The 23,640-nt window shown below is 35.4% G+C and overlaps 2 protein-coding genes across 3 annotated transcripts in view; both read left to right on the forward strand.

Annotated features, from left to right (window-relative positions):
- SLCO1B3 (solute carrier organic anion transporter family member 1B3) overlaps positions 1 to 23,640 on the forward strand; it is a 106,207-nt gene that overhangs the window by 65,431 nt on the left and 17,136 nt on the right. For both annotated transcript variants that reach the window (NM_019844.4, NM_001349920.2), the window contains 5 exons: positions 1,637 to 1,801; positions 3,301 to 3,496; positions 4,720 to 4,885; positions 7,283 to 7,467; positions 22,301 to 22,365. In NM_019844.4, coding sequence (NP_062818.1) covers positions 1,637 to 1,801; positions 3,301 to 3,496; positions 4,720 to 4,885; positions 7,283 to 7,467; positions 22,301 to 22,365 — 777 coding nt within the window. The remainder of the gene's footprint in view (positions 1 to 1,636; positions 1,802 to 3,300; positions 3,497 to 4,719; positions 4,886 to 7,282; positions 7,468 to 22,300; positions 22,366 to 23,640) is intronic.
- The window catches only part of SLCO1B3-SLCO1B7 (SLCO1B3-SLCO1B7 readthrough), a 275,549-nt gene that overhangs the window by 60,462 nt on the left and 191,447 nt on the right, over positions 1 to 23,640 (forward strand). The window contains exons 8-12 of the mRNA NM_001371097.1: positions 1,637 to 1,801; positions 3,301 to 3,496; positions 4,720 to 4,885; positions 7,283 to 7,467; positions 22,301 to 22,365. Of these exons, the coding sequence (NP_001358026.1) occupies positions 1,637 to 1,801; positions 3,301 to 3,496; positions 4,720 to 4,885; positions 7,283 to 7,467; positions 22,301 to 22,365 (777 nt within the window). The remainder of the gene's footprint in view (positions 1 to 1,636; positions 1,802 to 3,300; positions 3,497 to 4,719; positions 4,886 to 7,282; positions 7,468 to 22,300; positions 22,366 to 23,640) is intronic.

Genomic DNA, 23,640 nt, shown 5'->3' on the forward strand with positions numbered 1-23,640 from the left:
TGAAGTGAAAAGCAACATCAGTAATTAAGATATTTGGAGTAAATAATGTGAATTAGGATTCCTTACCACTTGATAGTGGTGCCTCTGTCCAATATAAGCCAAATGGGCTAATGGAGTACCATTGAGAAGCAATAATCAAGAGAATGATCTGGCAGCTGTCAGAGCAAGATATATCAAATGGTAAGGTATTGACAGCAGTTTTCAGATTAGGGAGAAATGGTGAAGTAGTAAAACCTGAAGCAGTGCAACCAACACTTAAACCCTTGGCACTTTTTAAAGTTTTCATTGAAGTAAACTTACAAACTTTCCAAAGTAACCCATGTTCTTTCTCTCATCAGTTCCTTCACTTACCTTTTTTTTTGTTGTTGTTATTTTCTCCTCTCCACCACACTAACCCAAGAGCAATGGGATGGATGCTGGAGCCTTGTGTATTCACTCATGAGAGTGGATTGCTCAATTTCAGCTGCGTTGGTAGCTTGAAATTGTCCATGGTAGGAGAATTTACCGTCATGTATTACCATGGAAATTGAAAAATATCACAAATCGAGTTTGTTTCCCAGTGAATCTGTTGTTAAACATTTACCAGCACATCATTGATAAGTTTTTGTAGTTTAACATGCATACTAAAAACAGCGTATCAAGGATTTTTTATTTTGTCTATGCTATGTTTCTACTTTAATCAAATCCATAACAATTGATGAATTTTTTTTTTTGAGACAGAGTCTCGCTCTGTCACCCAGGCTGGAGTGCAGTGGTGCAATCTTGACTCACTGCAACCTCCACCTCCCAGGTTCAAGCAATTCTCCTGCCTCAGCCTCCCGAGTAGCTGGGACTACAGGCACACACTGCCATACCCGGCTAATTTTTTGTATTTTTGTAGAGACGGGGTTTCACCGTGTTGGCCAGGCTGGTCTGGAACTCCTGAGCTGAGACAATCCACCTGCCTTGGCCTCCCAAAGTGCTGGGATTACAGGCGTGAGCCACCATGCCCAGCCAATTAATGGATTTTCTAAACCTATAAGGACCAGGGTTGACTGTGAGCCCAAAAAGAATAAAGAAGATAATAAGGTGCAAAAAAAGGGGCAACTGTAAACATTTTCTATATTATGAACTGTTTTTTTAAGGGTAGTGATGTGAATAGTAAAGCGAATTTTAATTAGGTGCTCATTAGGAATGGTTAAAATACTAAGTACCTATAGTCAGAAAAAAAATTAGATTTATTCCATATATTCTTGAGTAGAACTAAGACTAATTGATTAGAAAGCAAAGAAAATTCCAGTTCATTACAAAGACAACATGTAAACAATGAGAACTGTTCAAAAGTTGAGCAAATTGCTCTCAGGTAGCATAATGTCACTTGAATTGTTTATTGATCCATTTTTTAATGGATCAACATTGTAGTGAGTTATGATTGTATAGAAGTTCAGTTTAGATGACATCTGAGTTCCTATTTACCTCAAAAATTTAACAATTTGGTTAATTCACATGTTCCATTTATTTTGAGCAAAGGTCGCGACTCTCTTAGAAAGCCTCACAAATCATTTGTAACTTTAAGTCTTATATAACTTATATTTACAAAATTCAGATATTAATATATATTTTATTATTGAAATATGTTATTTTTATAACTCTATAGGTTTTTTCCAGTCTTTGAAAAGCATCCTTACCAATCCCCTGTATGTTATATTTCTGCTTTTGACATTGTTACAAGTAAGCAGCTTTATTGGTTCTTTTACTTACGTCTTTAAATATATGGAGCAACAGTACGGTCAGTCTGCATCTCATGCTAACTTTTTGTTGGGTAAGACATATTTTTTACCTGTTTGCTTGATAAATGAAACACTGCTGAGTACTTGTGTTCCAAGTCACATTTTATTATGAAGGTGATTTTATATTTTACTAAATGTAATCTTATTATGTCTCAAACTTTACAAAATTTCTCCATCTTGTAATATCATCGTTGTTCTGCATTTGAAGTTGCATCTCATGTTAGGTGAATTTAATTCCATAGGTGAAATTCACCTAATTCTATAGGTGAAATTCTAAAGAAAAAAAATTGCTTGTGAATAAAACATTTAGACGTAGTATCTGCATAATTGGATCTTATAATATAGTACTGAGATCCTGAGACAAACCCTTTTATAATATAACCATTATAATTCTATAATTCATGGACTGAAATAAGGCCTCAGCTACTTACAAAAGACATAATATTAATCTTTTCAGAAGGAGAATCAATTTAAATACATTACAAAATATGCATGATTCAAAACAAATGTCATATTTTAGAGAGGTTTATTTTGCTACAATGCCTATTTTCAAAGTCATATTGAGACCTTCTCATTAAGGAAAGGTTATCTTATATCCCTTTTCCCACAACTCCAGTATTGTAGAAACCTTGTAGAAATTTGATAAGTATTTGATGAGTTAAACAGTGTATCAAATGGTATGTATCTAGGTCATATGTACATAGGAAAGTAATAATTAGAAAATGAATGTACTGAAGCATTGGAACAGGCTTCTGGATGATCTCCCTGTTGAACTGACAGATTTAAACTTAAAAGATTCAGTTTTGACTCCCAATAACCTGGCTTGAATTTTTTGTTAGAGGAATCTTCACCTTTAATAACACTTACGGGACTGTGAAATGGAAAAAATGTAACAGGGATCAGTCATTTTTAATCCTGTATGTAGACATTTTTATCATATCATGGTAGATATGTCTTTTATGAATAATAAAGAGATATTAATTCAAGAATTTAATTCTAAAGCCTGGGCAAAATTGGAGTGAGTTATTGAGGATTGAAACATTTTGAGAAATGTATAAAGGATTTTTTAGATGGTAGGATAGAAATCTCAGAGAAAGAAAGATTTTGTTTTTGTTGTTGATTGCCAGAAAAAAAGAAAGCTCCTCATAGAAATAACCTTTTTAGACACGTAAATATTCTTAGCCACTGCCTTTTTCTTGTGAGGAAGCCAAGCCCTCATAATTGGCCAAAATAAATTATTTTTGTCTCTCATGTGGGTATACTTGTCCCTTACCTCCACCCTAGTGTGCCACCCTTCTCTCTTTTTTTTTTTTTTTTTTTTTGAGATGGAGTCTCGCTCTGTTGCCCAGGCTGGGGTGCAGTGGCGCGATCTCGGCTCACTGCAAGCTCCGCCTCCCAGGTTCTCCACCCTTCTCTTAAAGAAATAAGAATGGGTGAATTTGGTTGATATACACTGTGTTTTATATATAAAGACATATCAGAAAAACCATATTTGTATAATTATAGCTTTTTTCTCTTCTTTTATTTCTAGGAATCATAACCATTCCTACGGTTGCAACTGGAATGTTTTTAGGAGGATTTATCATTAAAAAATTCAAATTGTCTTTAGTTGGAATTGCCAAATTTTCATTTCTTACTTCGATGATATCCTTCTTGTTTCAACTTCTATATTTCCCTCTAATCTGCGAAAGCAAATCAGTTGCCGGCCTAACCTTGACCTATGATGGGTTTGTATATATTGCTATATAAATTGTGTAATATGTTAACCATCAAATTAAAAGATTATGTGCAAGTAAAATAAGGTAGAAAACAATTGTAATTAAACTTTATTTTAATTGAGAGAAATTTCAATTTTCAAATTCTTAAAATGTCCATTTCCTAAGACAATAAAAATTTGTTTTATTCCTTCCTTAAGGAAAAGCAACATCGGTTGAAATAATAATACCTATGATTTCTGGGTAATTAAAATGAGTGGTAGACACTTTTACCCCAATTTTATAGATGGGAAAGTGAGATTTAGAGAAACACACACATTATATGGCTAGCAATGTTAAGATTAAGACACAAATTTGAGCTATTAGAGGTATCAGATGTCATTAAATAAAATTATTCATAATGTATTTTCTAAATTATCAATCTCCTTATTTTTCTTAATTTAAATTCTATACTCATTTGAAGATATTTTATAAATCCTTAATAATTATCATATCTTTACAAAACAAATAAAATCTTTAAGCTTAAACATTATACAAATAACATTTTATAATTTTAGTCATAATATAAAATTATATCTTATGATTTATAATTATATTATAAAGTAAATCAGTATAAACAGTATTATAGTTTTATTCAGAAAATATGCAGAGATTTTTTATCCTTTTTCAACTAATTCTATTATTCTTGATTTTTTATTCCTCAGAGGTTTGGTTTTAACTACATTGAAATCTTTTTTTTTATGTAGTTAAAATATAGATTGTAAAATTCAACAATGTTAACTAACATGCATAGATTCAGAGGATTTTAAAGTGAGCTTAGAGGAACCTCAATCTAATGCCATTACCTCCCTGAAGAGAAACTGAATCTCAGAAAAATGAAGTTACTTATATAATGTAAAGTTTCATTGATAGAATGATAAAGACCTCTTGTCTAAGTCTTATCTAACCTCTTTTATTTCTTTTTTAATTTTTACTTTTTCTAGGTCATAAGTCATGTCTTGGTAAAGAAGGAGAGTTAAAAGTCAATAAGCATTACAAAAATTGCCATTTTGACATCAGCAAATCAAATTTCTCTATCTAATTAAAGGAAAACCCTTTCTCTTATTTCTCTTCTCTTTTCCTCTTCTCTTCCTCCTCCTCTATTTCCCCTCTCCTTATCCCCTTGTCTCCCTCTTCTGCTCTTTCTCTACTTCCTCTTTCTCTTTTTTTGATATATTTCTATCATATATTTTCAGAAATAATTCAGTGGCATCTCATGTAGATGTACCACTTTCTTATTGCAACTCAGAGTGCAATTGTGATGAAAGTCAGTGGGAACCAGTCTGTGGGAACAATGGAATAACTTACCTGTCACCTTGTCTAGCAGGATGCAAATCCTCAAGTGGTATTAAAAAGCATACAGTGAGTATTAGTTTTCACTTTTTCTCCTCTCCTTAATCAAAATCACAGATTTGATTTAATAAATACTTATCAAATCTTCCTATAACTAAGGTCTCCAATAAAAAGATAAAACAAAAAGATTCCAGTATTATCTGTCCTCGTGATAGCTGTGAAGTGTAAACAAAGCTTCATATAAAACTCTGCTTAGGACACAATCAGACTTCTCTGTTACTTGAATTCTAATTAGAGATTACCCACTTTTTTTCTTGAGATTTTAAGAATATGACCTGTTAGAATTTGAATGCATTTAGGGTCTCTAAGAAGCATCTCATTTGACTAAAGCACATGATTTTTATTATTTGGAATTACTTTACCCTTTGGAAGTTAGGGGAAAGTTCAGAGTTAGCCTGTTGTCAGCACTACCTGCTTTACGAGAACAATAATCTATTTGCATTTTAATATATACATACTGATAAGTGTAGCTAGGGACTCACTGTGGCCTTGGACTTTCCAAGAAATGAGTCAAGTCTTCATGTTCACTTGAATTCCCTATTCTTGATTTCCTATTTTGATGTTCCCAAAGCTGGCACTTCTTTTACTCAGTATAATTTAGTATCCTACTCACTGATTGCCAACATATCCATTGGAAATTCCATTTCTTTCTTAACTCAAAGGCTTTTTTTTTTCCATGTGACACATATCCTGTTTTTCCCAATATCCTGGGTAACTCCCAATGATTGGAAATTAGGTATGCTGTTCCCCATACCTACAATCAATTCAACATCTCACAAGTTGCATAACTATTTTTCAGGCCCTTTCCCTATTACCAACATTAGCAATATAGTCAGCTGCGATTATGACTCTCTACCACACTCTTCCATGCTTCAATTCTAAACATTTTCTATCTTTCCCTTGCCCAATATCCTACCAACGTATTATTAAACGGCATGGAGAAATTTGAAGAATAAAGCCTCCTAGTTTCCTTGAAGATAGGCTACAACTTTAGTAAACTTGCACATTTGTGGCCCAAAGACTATACTTAAAAGCCCACATCTCATATTCATCAGCTATAGTATCTTTCAGTAAGAGTACCCCATTTAATCCCTGGTCCTGTGTTGTCCAGTAGTGAAGACCTGAAAGAGAGGTGATATTAGTATCCTAAAGAGAGCTCTGTCTTCATGGAGACATCATCTTAATATTGGCAATGGCTATGCTATGTGGGGGCTACTGCAAAGTTCCTTTACTAAATCCTCAGTAAAATTGTTAAAATAATGCTCTCTGTATCAAAGTTGGGTTTCATTGGCCAATGTGCTTGCTCCATAAAAGATTCCTCCATGTTATTCCTATTGAAAAAAAATAAAAGGAAAAAAGGAATCTTTCTTGAACCATACGAGTATGGATTTAAATTCTTTTTTTTGTTTTGAGATGGAGTCTCACCCTGTCACCCAGGCTGGAGTGCAATGGCATGGTCTCGGCTCACTGCAGCCTCCACCTCCTGGGTTCAAGCAATTCTCCTGCCTCAGCCTCTCAAGTAGCTGGGATTACAGGTTCTCACCACCACACCCGGCTAATTTTTTTTTATCTTTAGTAGAGACGGGGTTTCACCATGTTGACCAGGCTGGTCGCAAACTCGTGACCTCATGATACGCCTGCCTCATCCTCCCAAAGTGCTGGGATTACAGGTGTGAGTGACCACGCCTGGCCAATTCTTTTACAAGTTCTCCTTCAGTAAATAGTCTTCAGCAGTAGTAGGTTCAAGATGAACTTAAATCTTTAGCCTAGAATCAGAGCAGAATTTATTAAAGCCACCTAACCACATACACTGCCTGCCTGATCTCTAAAATTACTTGTTCCTAATATTCCTCTTCTATATTCTAACCATTAGCCAGCACATTCTTTTGTGTTAAACCTTTCTGGTAATAATATACTATATCTTGTCACCTGTCATTATGGTCTTGAATGTTGCTTTTGCCTGCTTAAATAGAATTCTGGCACCACTGCCTGGCTCTATTTCCTCTGCACTCTGTCCCATTTTCATGAGTGGCTAAGTTTTGTCCCGTTTCAAACTATATTTTCTGGATTCTTTTGGTAGTTCTTTCCCAGAGTAAGTCCCTAATACTTAGAACCTGCCAAAGAGAGTAAGAATGTGTATTTTGGAAAGAAAATGTAGGTGGAAGAGAAATATTTTAAATAATGTATATTAATGAAAAAATTATATACAGAATTTCATACACTAATTTCTTAAATTCCTAAATTCAGGGAGCTATTTTGCCTTCACTATTAAGCAACTATATTTTTATAACATTTTTTAAACTGTAAATATTTTAGTTTGAGACTTCTTTAAATATAATGGAATGTATTCATAGCCCTGTTGTATTTGGCAAATGTATTTGTTAATATTTCAAAAACTATTTTTAGGTGTTTTATAACTGTAGTTGTGTGGAAGTAACTGGTCTCCAGAACAGAAATTACTCAGCACACTTGGGTGAATGCCCAAGAGATAATACTTGTACAAGGAAATTTTTCATCTATGTTGCAATTCAAGTCATAAACTCTTTGTTCTCTGCAACAGGAGGTACCACATTTATCTTGTTGACTGTGAAGTAAGTATGATCCTGTAAAACATTGTCATGTATATTAGACTAAAACACACCTAATGATAGGCATATTTTTCTGTATTTTGAGCTCAAATTCATATTTTGTCAATTTTTAATTCTTTGAGAATGCATTTTCTTAGAATTATTTTGATATTTCAATAACATCATTAATAATTTTTGTCTCTAATACTTCCATTGTCAAATCTAGGCTCTATACTTTCTTCTCTTTAATAAAAATCTTAAGGCACACACTGATTGACAGTTGCCTTGATTGTAGGAGAATCTTTGTGTGATTGTAAAAGAACTTTTAATTTTGAGTTGCGTTGCATCCTAATGAGCCAGTTAAGAGTAAATCATCTGTTGATTTCATTGAAAGAAAACATTTAGCAACCAGGTATAAATACAAACTTCAATTTGTAATGAAATTCTAATGCTTTCAATTCACCCACAGCATGGCTTTTGACCTGGTATTTCATGATACCCTTGTAGGGCATAAGAAAAATATGTGTAAATAATTCATTCCTTTTTTCACTTATTAGACAGTTATTTAGACAGGATATGATGTTCGATGAAGAATATTTCCTAGTAAGTAAAACCAATAAGGTACTTGTTTTCTCACAGCTTAGAAAATGACAAGACTGATGTGAGACAAATAAGTATAAAAATAAACACATAATTACAAATTGCTGTTTGTCTTAATAAGGAAAAAGACTGCCAATTAAAGGAATAAAAAGAGAAACTAAATTTAGGATTAAAGTAAGGGGATGTGAGGGGAAAGACTCCCAGAGTACATCTCAAAAGAAGTGACATTATATCTAAAGATGTAAAGAAAAAGCCAAATGAAGGGCTTTCAGGGAGAGGGTCTAGGTGCTGTTTCCTTAAGACAGGAAAGAGCTAGAATTTTTGAGGAATGAAAAGAAGCCAGTTTATTGGAACACACTGAGTGAGAGGGGTATGGCAGATGATGTTTGGAGAGTTGAGGGGAAGCAGATAATGTGTGCCCTACTGGCCAAAATAAGCACACAATCACCTAAAACGGGAAACATGTAAAGACATGCATGTAGATCTTAAAAATATACATGATAAGTAGAGTGACCTGGGGTAACACCTAATTGTACTTTTAAAACCTACTAGTTGATCGGAAGTTCATGGCCAGCCAACAGCATGACATGGTAGAAAAAAAAAAAGCAACCAACAATGTGTTTTAACTTTTGTTAATATGAATATAAACCTGTAAACTAAGTCAGTTTACAGTTGTTAAATTTTCACCCTGCCTGCAAATTTTCTTAAATTCATACCATAAATATTCCACAAGTATAGCTTCATCTTAATATAAAATGTCAATTCAGAAGGAGAAGCCTTCTGTATTTCCAAATTACAGATTCATTAACTTATAAAAATTCACTTCATAATTTCATACTAGTTTGCCTCTCAACATGTTTTAGCTTCTTAATTGAAACCTTTTCATGAGAAAAGGAGAGTTTTAAAAACATTGTTCCATCCTTGATGATAGTTATATTTTATCTGAATAAAAAGTGATTAAATCAACATTACCACTTATCAGAGCATTTATTAATTTCTCACCTGCCTTTGATTTCCTTTGAAGAAAAGTTTTCTGAAGCTGACTGGAGAATAAAAATACAAACTTCATTTTATTAATGATTTTCTAATGCTTGCATCATAAGGCTATTGCTAAAACTAGACTCAGCAGGAGTGTAGACATTTACTCATCCAGTACATATTCATTATGTGTGTCAGCCACAAATCCATGCACTGAGGATGCAAATGTGAACGAAAATGATAAAACTTCATTAGCATCCAGTGGGGATAGGGTACAGGGAGTGGATATATATAGAAGAACTAATAAACAAATAAGCAAGTAAATATGTAAAACAGGGTAAATGTGAAGCACTAGAAAGAAAAATAAATCAGAGTCAGAAAATAGAAAAAGTGGGGATAGGTAAGAGATGCTAGTTCAGATATTGTGAAAGTTATATGACAAGAGACCTAAATGAAAAGATGAAGAGAGAAGCTACAAGCCATGCTAAATGAGGACAGGAAAGGAACAAGCTAGGCAAGGTAGAGCAAAGACAAAGGCCCTTGGGTGGAGCATACTTGATACATACAAGGTTAGAAAAAAGTGTGTGAGGAAAAGAGAGGTACGAAGTACAATGACAGAGCTAGCGTGATCCAGATTATATTGTTCACAGGAAAGGCTTTGGAGCTTATTCTAAGTGTGTTCAGAAGCCCCAGAGGGTTTAAGCATTAGTATTACCTAATGCTTAAGGCTTACCTGAGAAGATCACTCTGACTGTGCATGACTTGTGTTTTTGGAAGACAAGAATGAAATCAGGGAAAACAAAAGGCTATGATCATTCTTCACAATGAGGTATTATTGAGCATGGTTATGATAAAGGAAGTGGGAAGATATTTGTGCTTCATTCTTTGTTTTGTTTTGTTTTCTAAGGCAAAGCCAATATGATTTGCTGGTTGATTGAATGTGGCATGTGACAAAGATAATTTAAGGATGATCCCAAGGTTCTGGCCTGAGCTCTGGAAAGATGGTGATACTATTGAACAAAAGGGGAAACACTAAGGAAGGGTAGTTTGGAGGAAGTAGAAAAGCAAAATTTCTTATATCCCTGTAAAACTGAGCTGCCTGTTAGGTATCTACCAACAATGCCATATGTAGAAGCCACCATTTAGGAAAATCATTAAAGCCATAGACACAAATCTAGAGTTGGCAATATACAGATGCTATTTAAATCCAATGCCACATTGAGATCTTCTAGGGACTGGGTACAGATAGAAACTACATCCTAGGAACAACAGGCACTCTAACTTTAGCGATTAATAATAGAAGGAGAGGACACTAAAGGAAACTGAGGAGGTCCCATGAGTTATGAGGAAAATTGGGAAAGGATCATGTCCTTGAAGCACAGTGAAGAATATATGAAGAAGCAGTGAATAAAGAAACTATGTCAAGGCCTGCTGAGAGTTCATAGGAGTTATGGACTAGAAAGTGACCATTGGATTTCATTATATGCTCATCACTATTAACCTAAACAAAACTAGTGCATGAAGATGGGAGGTGAAAAAAAGGCTGTTTTGGTTGTTTTAAATTTTTTCATTTTTATGGATTTAGAGATACAATTGTAGTTGTGAAACATGGATTATATTGTGCAGTGGTAAAGTCTGGGGTTTAATGTTCCCATCACCCGAATCGTGTACTTTATATTCAATAGGTAGTATTTCTTCCCTCCCACTCCCTTCCACCCTCCCACACTTTAGGGTCTCCAATGTCAATTATTCCACTCTGTAAGTCCTTGTGTGCCCATTGTTTAGCTCCCACATCAAAGTAAGTACATGCATTTTTTACTTTCTGTTTCTGAATCATTTCACTCAGGATAATGGCCTCCATTTCTATCCACATTGCTATAAAATACATGATTTCACTTTTTAATTGCTCACTAGTATTCCATAGTGTATACATATATACAAAATTTTTAATCTAATTATCAGTGAATGGAAATTTAGAGTGATTCCATGACTTTGCTTTTGTCACTAGTGCTGTAGATAAGCATACAAGTCAGTTGTCTTTTTAATAAAATGATTTCTTTTTCTTTAGGTAGACACCCTGTGGTGGGATTGCTGGATTAAATGGTAGTTCAATTTTTAGGTCATCAGGAAATCTCTATACTGTTTTCCATAGAGGTTTTACTAATTTACATTCCCACCAACAGTGTATAAACATTCATTTTTCTTTTCATCTTCACCAACATCTCTTGACTTTTGACCTTGTAATAATAGCTATCTTGATGAGTATAAGATGATATCTCATTACGGTTTTAATTTTCATTTCTCTGATGATTAGTGATGTTGGGCATTTTTATATATTTATTGGCCATTTGTATGTCTTCTTTTGAAAAATGTCTGTTCATGTCGTTTACCCACTTTTTAATGAGGTTTTTTTCCTTTTTTTATTGAGTTGTTTGAGTTCTTGTAGATTCTGGATATTAGCCCTTTGTCAGATGCATTGTTTGCAAATATTTTCTCCCATTCTGTGGTTTGTCTGTATACTCTGTTGATTATTATTATTATTTTTTTTTTTACTGAACAAAAGTTTTGTAGTTTAATTAAGTTCCATTGGTGTATTATTTTGTTGCATTTCCTTTTGAGGGTGTAGTCATAATTTCTTTGCCTAGATCATTGTCCAGAAAAGTTTTTCCTAGGTTTACCCCTAGGATTTTTATAGTTTCAGGCCTTACAATTACGTCTTTCATCCTTTTTCAGTTAATTTTTATATATGGTGAGAGATACGGGTTCAATTTTATGTCTGTGTATATGGCTCTCCAATTTTCCCAGCACCATTTATTGAATAGGGTGTCCTTTCCTCACTGTATATGTATTTGTTACTTTGTCAAAAATCAGTATGTTGTAGGTATGTGGCTTTATTTCTGGCTTCTCCATTCTGTTCCATTGATCTATGTGTCTATTTTTATACTAGTACCCTTTTATTTTGGCTTATAGCCATGTAGTATAATTTGAAGTCAGGTAATGTGATACCTTCAGCTTCATTTTTTTGCTTAGGATGGATTTGCTAGTCAGACTTTTTTGGTTCCGTATGAATTTTAGGATTTACATTGGTAATTTCATAAAAATTGTGTTGAATCTGTAGATTGTTTTGGGCAGGATGGTCATTTTACACAATATTCATTATTCCAATTCATGAGCGTAGGATGTTTTTCTATTTTTTTTGTGACATATATGACTTTTTTCATCAGTGTTTTGTAGTTCTCCTCGTAGAGACTTTTTTACCTCTTAGTTTAAATGTATTACTATTTTTTATATTCATTGTAAATGGGATTAAGTTGTTGATTTGATTTTGAGCTTGATCATTATTGTTGTATGGAAATGGTACTTATTTTTGTACATTGGTTTTGTATCCTGAAACTTTACTGAAGTAGTTTATCAAGTCTAAGAGGCTTTCAGAGGAGTTTTTAGGGTTTTCTAGGTGTAAGATTATATCATAAGTGAAGAGGAATAATTCAAATTCTTCTTTTCCCATTTGGAGACCTTTTATTCCTTTATCTTACATGATTGTTCCTGATAGGACTTCCAATACTACGTTGAATACGAGTAGTGAAAGTGGGCATCCTCATCTTGGGTCCATTCTTAGAAGTAATGCTTACGATTTTCCCCCATTCAGTATGTTATTGACTGTGGTTTGTCATATACATGGTTTTTATTATTTTAAAGTATGTTTCTTCTATGCCTAGTTTGGTAAGTGTTTTTATCATAAAGCGATGCTGGATTTTATCAAATGTTTTTTCTGCATCAATTTATTTTATCATACGCTTTTTGAAAAAAGATTTCTGTTAATTTTGTGAATCACATTTTTGATTCGCATATGTTGAACCATCCTTGCATTTCAGGAAAAAGTCCACTTTTCATTGCGATGAACCTTTTTATGTGCTGCTGAATTTTATTTTCTAGAGTTTTTTTTTTTTTTTGAGGATATTTGGATCTATGTTCATCAGGGATATTAATGTGTAGTTTTCTCTTTTATTTGTTATGTACTTGCCTGGCTTTGGTATCAGCATGATGCTGACTTCATAGAATTAGTTGAAGAGGATTCCTTCCCCCTTGATTTTTTGGAATAGTTTTAGTAGAGTTGGTATCATTTCTTCCTTTTTGGTTTGGTAGAATCTGGCAGTAAGTTCATCTTTTTGTTGTTGTCATCAGGAGATTTTTTAATTATTATTACTAATTCAATTTAATTGCTCATTATTGGTCTGTTAAGGATTTCTGTTTCTTCCTGGTTCAAACGTGTGAGGTTGTATGTTTCCAGGAATTTATCCATTTCCTCTAGGTTTTCCAGTTTATGTATGTAGAGATGGTCATAGTAGTCTCTGATGATCTTTTATGTTTCTGTGGTAATAGTTTTAATGACACCAGTAATATTTCTGATTGTCCTTATTTGAATCTTCTTTCTTTTTGGTTAAGCTACTAGTAAGCTATCTATCTTACTTATATTTTCAAATTACAACTTTTTATTTCACTGATCCTTTGTAATTTTTTTGCCCAAATCTCATTTAGATTTTTTCTTTGATATTTACTATATTCTGCTAGCTTTGGGTGCAGTTTATTCTTGTTTTACTAGTTCTGTGAGACGTGACATTAGATTGTTAATTTTATATCTTTCTGTCTTTTTGTTGTGGGCATTTAATGCTACAAACTTCCCTCTTGGCACTGATTTGTTGTATCTCAGAGGTTTTGGTATGTTGTGTCTTTATTTTCATTCATTTCATTTTCTTAATTTTTTTTTTTTTGTTTTTGGGGACAGAATCTCACTCTGTCACCCAGGCTGGAGTGAAATGGTGTAATCTTGGCTCACTGCAACCTCTACCTCTTGGGTTCAAGCAGTTCTCTGGCCTCAGCCTCCCTAGTAGCTGGGATTAAAGACCTGTGCCACCACACCCAGCTAATTTTTTTTATTTGTAATAGAGACGGGGTTTCACCATGTTGGCCAGGCTGGTCTCAAACTCCTGATCTCAAGTGATCCACCCACCTCAGCCTCCCAAAGTGCTAGGATTACAGGTGTGAGCCACCACACCCAGCCTCATTTCAATTAAAAAAAAAATCTGCCTTGATTTCATTATTGACCAAATAATTGTTCAGGAACAGGCTATTTAATTTTCATGTATTTGTGTAGTATTGAGAATTCTTCTAGGTACTAATTTCTATTTTTATTCCACTGTACTCTGAAAAGGTACTTGATATTATTTTGAGTTTTAAAAAAAATCATTGAGTATTGCCTTTTGGCATAGCATGTGGTCAGTTTTTGAAAATGCTGCATGTGTACATGAGAAGAATGTATATTCTGAGGTTGTAGGGTAAAATGTTCTGTAAAATGTTCTGTAAAATGTTCGTCAGATCCATTGGGTCTAATGTCCATTGTAAAAGTTTCTTTGTCGATTTTTGGCTGCCATGATCTGCCTAGTGCTGTCAGTGGATTATTGAAAGACCCCACTACTGTTGTATTGCTATCTATTTTGTTTTCCTTAGGCCCAGTAGTGTTTGTTTTATGAATTGGGGTGCTCCAATGTTGGGTTTATATGTTTGGAATTGTTATATCTTCTTGTTTAATTGATCCTTTATATGATAACCTTCTTTGTCATTATTTATGGTTTTTGATTTGAAATTTGTTTTATCTAATGCCAGTATAACTACTACTGCTCTGATTTGGTTTGTATTTTCATAGAATGTCTTTTTGCACCCCTTTGGTTTGAGTCTGAAAAGGTCTTTACCAGTTACTTGAGTTAGGTGGGTTTTTTGTATGCAGCATATAGTTGGATTTTTAAAAATTCATTCTGCCAGACTATATTTTTTAAGAAGAGTGTTTAGTATATTTATATATAAGGTCAGTATTGATTTTTGAGGGGTTGTTTCTATAATATTGTTAATTATTTCTTAATTGCTTTGCAGTCTCAATTAGGTAATTTTAAAATAAGATCTGTAAGTTTTATACTTTGTGTGTTTCCATAATGATAAGTATTGCTCTTTCATTTCTATATGTTAGAACTCCTTCAAGCCTTTCTTGTAGAGTCAGTCTGTTTGCGACAAATTCCCTTAGTGTTTGCTTATTTGGGAAGTACTACTTTTCTTCTTGAATTATAAGTCTTAGTTGAGCAGTATACAAAATTCTTGGCTGGCATTTTTTTTTTTCTTTAAGAGACTGATAATAAGACCCTAATTTCTTTTGGCTTGTAAGATTCCTGCTGAGAAGTCTGTTGTTAGTCTGATAGGATTCTTTTTACAGGTAATTAGATACCTCTCTCTTGCCACGTTTAAGATTTTTAAATTTTTGTTGACTTTGAGTAGTCTGATGACTATATGTCTTGTGCTGGTTATTCTTGCAATGCATCTCACAGGAATCACCTGAGCTTTTTATATTTGGATGTCTGGATCTGTAGTAAGTCAGGGAAGTTTTTGGGAGTTATTCTTTCAAACAAGTTTCCCACACTTTTAACTTTTTCTTCTTCTCCCTCTGGAATACCAATGATTCATAAGTTTGTATGCATTCCATAATCCCATATGTCCTGAAGGTTCTGTTAGGTTTTTCAATTTACTTTTCTATGTATTTTTCCTACCAAGTTTATTTGAAAGACCTGTCTTCTAGCTCTGAAATTGTTTATTCTGCTTGGTCTGGCTTATTGTTAAAGCTTTCAGAAGTATTTTGCAGTCCCTTCAATACATTTTTAATTTTTAGAAGTTGTGTCTGCTTCTCGTAATAAAATCTTTCTCTTCTTTTATACCCTATGTTATTTTTTTTCATTTATTTTTGGTAATTTTTAACTTTCTTTTGGATCTCAAGCTTTACATAATCCCATATTACTTGAAGGTCTTATTTCTCGAAGACTTCTTTAGAATCAATATTTTGGATTCTTTATCAGCATATCAAAGATTTCATTTTGGTTTGGATTAATAGCTCAAGAGTCATTGTGGTCCTTTGGACCTTTAACAATCTATCTTCTTTATACTTCCAGAATTCTTTCTCTGGTTCTTTCTAACTTAGATAGGCTATCTCTCCTTATTTTGAATTTATTTTGTTTGAATTAGGTTTTTTCCATTTGAAAATGTGGCTATAATGTGTGTTATGTAGGATCTAACAGGCTATATTGAAGAGGATAGAGAGAAAATGCCAGAAAGGGAAGTGCAACAGTCAGCACAGCAAGTTATTTTCAGGAGTAGTGCTACAAAAGAAACAGACAAAAGTTGTGGTTGATAGCAAAGTTGTGGAATAAAACTTCTGTTTATGTTCAATGCTAGACGTAATAGCATGCTTACATACTGATGAGAATCATCAGTAGAGATGAAGGAAACTGACAATGCAGAAAAGAGGGAAAGCAATTACAGAGGAAGATGAAAAGAGTTTAACCAGGACACAGAGTTTTTCTCTGTACAAGAAGGGAAATTTTCTATGTGGGTAAAAGGCAGGTAAATGTGTACCTGTAGTGATGAAGAATATTGAACTTTTTTCTGCTGCTTCTACTTTCTTTGTTATAAAAAAGGAATGTAATCAGATGAGAAAGAGGAGGAAGAAAAGAAAGAGTCTTTGGATCAGAAAATGTGAACTAGTAATCCTGAAGATTAAAGAAACATACTGACAGGGAAAATGGACTAGTAGAATATTGGACGATTGCCCTGGAGGCCCCCTGAATGTCTGTGCTTATGAATTTAAAGTGAGCACAGTGAGATGTTTGAATTCTTTCCTCCAGGGATGCAGCTCTTTGTATATAGGTTCAGAGAAGGCAGAGGATTAGATGAAAGCATTTTTGCTTGTCTAGTACAGTAAAGGATGAGATGGACAAAAATTTACAGAATATATGCAGATGAGCAATTATAACAAAAGATCATGATGAGAAAGGAAGTGAAGAGGTAAAACTAGATATGACCTGTGAAGAGGTTAGGGGAATCATAGCCTAAAGAGCTAGGGCTGGAGCTTCTTGTAACAGATATATTAAAGGGAGTAAATTTAAAACTTAGGAGGTAGTTATGAGGACTGGGATGGCCAAAATGGAGAATTTTAAAAGTGGGTACTGATGAACTGACTGTGGGTGGAAGACTTTCCAGAAAAGAGGTCAAGAAACTGAAAGGCCAGAGAACATTGGGAGCATAATCTATATGATCTATATTTCCTAAAATAACTAGGAAAAAGGGCAGAAATAATTTTCACAAAAATGACAGGGAGTTTGGAATGAAAATTGTCAAGAAATGATGAGAGTTGTGATGTGCCATTCTATAGCTAACTTCAGCAAGGAGGTTAGAGAATAGTATGGTAGGGTGGTGCACTTCTTCTTGGGACCTAGAGGTCTGTCAGAAGAAAGACTCAGATCTGGAAGTGGTAAAAATGAAAGATCAATGAGAACTTCTACATTTCAGGCCCATTGATGTGGAGGTTGTGGAAGGAAAAAGCCTACAGGAGAGAGTTACATGGAGTGTCATTGGGAGTAAGCCAGGCTTTGTTTAGAACAAGAAAGTGAAAGGGCTACAAAGAATGTAGGAACTAAATATTTTGCTGGTAACAAATATGAGTTTCCCTGGGAAAAATGAAAGGGTTTGAGTAATGGAAAAAGAGTAAGAGAGTGAGTGGGATTAAGGGATGTAGTAAACCATGTGGAATGAGAGCCTTGGTACCCAGACAGGATCTCAAAATCTTGACATTCTGCTGGTGACAGGATGTGAGGCATGATGTAAGTTTATGACAAACAAAACATCAATTGAAAAGGCCCAAAGGAGGGTAATGTTTCAGAACTTTTTTAAAAAACTGCATTTTAGTGGGTTAGCTAGAAAAGATTTGTCTCATATACACAATAAATTAGAGCTGTTCTTCAGTCTTTTGCAAACAGGAAAACAAGCATTCCCTACCTGTGCTATCTATTGTTAGGGTTTCATTAGGTCTAACTGGAAATTACCTCAAGAAACAGCAGGTCATGATGGTTGATTGTCATTAGAAAGAACAACAGAGGATCAATGTAAATGAAATCTCTTAAATTAAACAATTAAATGAAATAGCACATTTAACTTCTTAGGGTGCCTTTTGTGATGAATTCATCCTGAGAGAGGTGCCAGCTGCTCAATATCATATGTAAAGCAGGAGTCACACTACAGTGGTAAATAACTTACATGATAACCATGCACGAGCGTGTGCACATCAGTGAGGATGTGAGTATGAGCAGGCAAGAAGTAGTGTGAGTGTGCATGCATGTGGATGTAGGGGTGAGTGTGTGTGATTGTTATTGTATATGAATATTACCATATCACACACATTCATCATCTCCACTGAATTGTTGAAGATTTCAGGCCAGCTCTTAGGAAAATATCCTCCCTATCTGCAAGTCCCCCCAAGTCTCCTGCATGCCACCCCTTCCCCTGGGTGAAAATACAGCTCAATAACAAATTTCAGTTTACCTTGTGTGTGTAGTATACCGACAAAGTGTAACTTCTGAAAATCAAGTACAGTGAAAAATACATGTCAGGCTATTGTCAAAAAACTCAACCAGGGTTGAAGTGCAATCTCTCCCTTCCCAAAATCTCCTTTGAGAAATCTGATATTTGAGAGTAATAACTAAATAGATAAGTTAAACTCCCCTTTCTACTGATTTCTTCTTGACCATCTCTTTATGAAATAAACTTCCTCCTAAATAGCAGGCATGGATTCTGTATTCATTTGTTTTTATGCTGCTGATAAAGACATACCCAAGACTGAGCAGTTTACAAAAGAGGGAGGATTTAGTTGGAATTACAGTTCCACGTGGCTGGGTAAGCCTCACAATCATAGTGGAAGGCAAGGAGGAGCAAGTCACATCTTACATGGGTGGCAGCAGGCAAAGGGAGCTTGTGCAGGAAAAGTACGCATTATAAAGCAATCAAACCTCATGAGACTTATTCACTATCATGGAACAGCATGGGAAAGACCACGATTCAATGATCTCCCACTGGGTCCCTCCAACAACACGTGGGAATTATGTGAGTAAAATTCAAGATGAGATTTGGTGGGGACACAGAGCCAAACCATTTCATTCCACCCCTGTCCCCTCCAAATCTCATGTCCTCACATTTCAATACCAATCATTCTTTCCCAACAGTCCCCCAGAATCTTAACTAATTTCAGCATTAACCCAAAAGTCCACAGTCCAAAGTCTCATCTGAGAGAAGTCAAGTCCCTTCCACCTATGCACTTGTAAAAACAAAAGCAAGCTAGTTACTTCCTAGATACAATGGGGGTACAGGCATTGGGTAAATACAGCCTTTCCAAATGGGAGAAATAGGCCAAAACAAAGGGGCTACAGGCCTTATGCAAGTTTGAAATCCAGCAGGGCAGTCAAAACTTGAAGCTCCAAAATGATCTCCTTTGACTCCATGTCTCACATCTGGGTCACACTGATGCAAGAGGTAGGTTCCCGTAGTCTTGGGCAGCTCTATCCCTGTGGCTTTGCAGGGTATAGCCTCCCTCCTGGCTGCCTTCTCGGGTTGGCGTTGAGAGTCTGCAGCTTTTCCAGGTGAATGGTGCAAGCTGTCGGTGGATCTACTGACAGCTTCTGGGATCTGGAGGATGGTGACCCTCTTCTCACAGCCCCACTAGGCAGTGCCCCAGTAGGGACTCTGTGTGATGGCTTTGACCTGACATTTTCCGTTCATACTGCCCTAGCAGAGGTTCTCTATGAGCACCTTGTCCCTGCAGCAAACTTCTTCCTGGGCATCCAGGCATTTCCATACATCTTCTGAAATCTAGGCAGAGGTTCCCAAACCTCAATTATTGACTTTTGTGCACCCACAGGCTCAACACCACATGGAAGCTGCCAAGGCTTGGGGCTTGCACCATGTGAAGGCACAGCCCAAGCTCTACATTGGTCCCTTTCAGCCACAGCTGGAGCAGCTGGGATGCAGGGCACCAAGTCCCTAGGCTGCACATAGCACAGGGACCCTGGGCCTGGCTCAGGAAACCATTTCTCCTAGGATTCCAGGCCTTTGACGGGAGGGGCTACCATGAAGACTTCTCACATGTCCTAAAGACATTTTCCCCATTGTCTTGGGAATTAACATTCAGCTTTCAAATTTCAGGTATTCAAATTTCTGCAGCCAGCTTGAATTTCTCCTCAGAAAATGGGGTTTTCTTTTCTATCACATTGTCAGACTGCAAATGTTCCAAACTTTTATGCTCTGCTTCCCTTATAAAACTGAATGCCTTTAACAGCACCAAAGTCACCTCTTGAATGCTTTGCTGCTTAGAAATTTTTTCTGACAGATACCCTAAATCATCTCCCTCAAGTTCAAAGTTCCACAAATCTCTAGGGCAGGGGCAAAATACTGCCAGTCTTTTCACTAAAATATGACAAGCATCATCTTTGCTCCAGTTTCCAACAAGTTCCTTATCTCCATCTGAGACCACCTCAACCTGGACCTTATTGTCCATATCACTATCAGGCTTTTAGCCAAAGCTATTCAACAAGTCTCTAGGAAGTTCCAAACTTTCCCATATTTTCTTGTTTTTTTCTGAGCCCTCCAAACTGTTCCAACCTCTGCCTGTTACCCAGTTCCAAGGTCACTTCCACATTTTCAGGTATCTTTTTAGCAACGTCCCACTCTACCGGTACCAATTTACTGTATTAGTTTGTTTTTACGCTGCTGATAAAGACATACCTGAGACTGGGCGATTTACAAAAGAAAGAGGTTTAATATGACTTATAGTTCCATGTGGCTGGGGAAACCTCACAATCATGGTCGAAGGCAAGGAGGCTCAAGTCACATCATATGTGGATGAGGCAAGCAAGGAGAGTTTGTGCAGGAAAACTCTGACTTACAAAGCCATCAGATCTTGTGAGACTTATTATCATGAGAACAGCACAGAAAAGACCTGCCCCTATGATTCAATTATCTCCCACCGGATCCCTCCCACAACACGTGGGTATTATGTGAGTAAAATTCAAGATGAGATTTAAGTAGGGACACAGAGCCAAATCGTATCAGATTCATTGTCCTCAGTGTAGTTTTGTGCCCTCAGCTGTGCTAACAAAGTGCTGCTGTCCTTTGTCAAAGCAGGGCCAAAACACACTTTCTGTTTATTGTCTCTCCTAATAGATAACTATTTTAGATTTAACTTTCAATGTATTATGTTTAATTTAGTTTTTGTCTTTTAAAATTTTATAAGCGCTATTGAATTCTTTTCAGAATCTCAATAAATGGCAGTTCTCTGGCAAGGTATAGAGGCAAATATGTGTACATGAAACTGAGGTTTAGAGTGCTAGCTCATTGTGTTGGATTCTTATAACATATGAGATAAGCATTATCATGCCCACTTAGCAAACAAGGAAACTGAGGCTAAGAGAGATTAAGTGATATACTTCTACAAGTCATTTGGATGAGAGAAAGCATAATTTGTCTATTTACTTTCAAGAATATTAACTAGCATGGTATCTCTTAGTAGGTGCTTAGTGAATGTTTCTTGATTGATGGTGGTTACTTAGCTCTCTGAAAAAAACCATCCAACACTTCGAGGAGAAAAAAACCCTTTTTATCAGTTAATTCAACATTTCAGTAAAAGTGGGTTATTTGAGCCACAGTCATCCACCTCATCCCAGCTCTCCTCCTTTACTAATGAAAGATAATTTCATTTCTCTTGGTATGTACTAAGTTATCACAGGGATGGTAGTGTCATCAGTTTATTGAACACAGAAAAATGGAATTGTAGAAATGTAAGAGTGAGTGAATTTCCAAGTGAGGATACAAATATGCTCTGTAGCTTTAATGTGACAGTCAAATACATTAGACACTAGAATACAGAAAAGTTTTTTGACCCTTCTGGTTGTATAATATAATTTACGAATCATATTAATAAGCTATTCTGTTAACATTGATGACAGAAATAAGGTGGTAAAAAGAGGTCTGCTAAGAATTACTCCTGGATAAAAGTATATAATCCTTTAATAGGAGGTACCTTGACTAAATAGTCCACACAAAATCATTTTCTTCATAAGCATAATAAAGTCTATTCCAACCACTTTCTTATAGGATTTTCATAAGGATCAAATGTGAACATATTTGTTAAACTGCCTTGAAATCATAAAGCATTTAATAAATAAAGAAATTATTATTATTATCACTCAGGTGTTTACCTTTTAAAACAGTTGAAAATGTAACTTTATATAACGTGGGAAATTCACTTAAGAGTATTCATTCTACCAGGGAGAGGAATGATGCTGATAAATGTTTTGATATTAACTCAGTTTGATTTTTTAATGACATGTATTATTTCTTTGCCTTTATCATATTTCAGGATTGTTCAACCTGAATTGAAAGCACTTGCAATGGGTTTCCAGTCAATGGTTATAAGAACACTAGGTATGACAAATATATAGATTATACATTTTAACATATAAATATTAATGTTAAATACTAAAGACTGAATGCAATTAATTTTCAACTATAAGACTGTATAAAAAAGAATAGGTAAGAATCATTTCTATTTTGTGATAAGTGAAAATAAAAAGGAACGGGAAAATTGAGTGGTCTAAAAGATAATTTGATGTTAATTCTAGTTAGAGTCAATCTGTTAAGAGCAAGGAATCATCATATTTATATTATATTCTTTCTAACAGAAACAGAAAGATAGGTGGTCTCTGAGGTTTTCCTTCTTTCAGGAAAATAAGAATATTTCTCCCAGGTATACGCAGAGTGGAGGACCTTCCTTCCAAATGGAGACATTACTTAGGACAGCCCTAAAGTAGCTTGGGAACCCTGGGAATCTGGTCAGGCTGAGGTTGTCTAGAACAACAGAAGCTGACATTCACTGTGCCATTTCCCACTGCCTGGTCCTCTATGGCTGGACAGCTAACCATTAGCAGGAGTTAATGCAAAAGGGAATGAAAATTCATACTCTAGAACTAGGCTTGTTGGATTATGAGGATGTCCTGAATAAAAGAAAGCTCAGAAAATTGTGGTTTATGGTGGCAAGGGTAGGATTTTAGACTCTAGAGGCTAAAGGCCTATTTCTAAATATTCAAAAGTGATGAGAAAAGATTTAGGAAATGAACCTTTGTCCCTTATTGCCATTTGCCTTTTTTACTGCACAGATACTTGTTGTTAAATAATGTCTAGTCTAACCTCTGTGAGTGGTCCTTTGTAAGAATTGTAAACATTATGTGCTTATTCCTGGGAAGTAGGAAAAGGGCATCATTCATCTAGGGATTGGTGCAGAGGACTGATTATGGTCCATAGGTAACCACTGATGGCAGAAGGAAAAGGAAGTGGGAGGGGTCAGTTTCTGGGACCCTTGCAAGGAAAGGAAAAAGTATAACTCTATGGCCAAATTACCGTGAAGAAGTTGTACATGAAGTGTATTCGGTGAGAAGGTCACAGATCCTGAAATGTAAAAGGAAATATAAAAGGAATAGGAGAGAGAAGATGAAGATGCTGCAGGGTTGCATTGCCTCCATCCTAACCGTCCCTTTCTGTGTCCCTAATCTTCCAGCCTCTGTAATCTTAGCAGTTCTCTACCTCCAGATTCAGAGACGATACCTCACTCCTGGAATCTGGGCCACAGAGGCTGAAAATAGCATCTGGGTAGTTAGGACTCCTTCTGATATGTTGAAATGAGACTATGACAATAGAAGACAT

The sequence above is a fragment of the Homo sapiens genome, chromosome 12 (assembly GCF_000001405.40).
Source record: "Homo sapiens chromosome 12, GRCh38.p14 Primary Assembly".
Classification (NCBI taxonomy): Eukaryota; Metazoa; Chordata; class Mammalia; order Primates; family Hominidae; genus Homo; species Homo sapiens.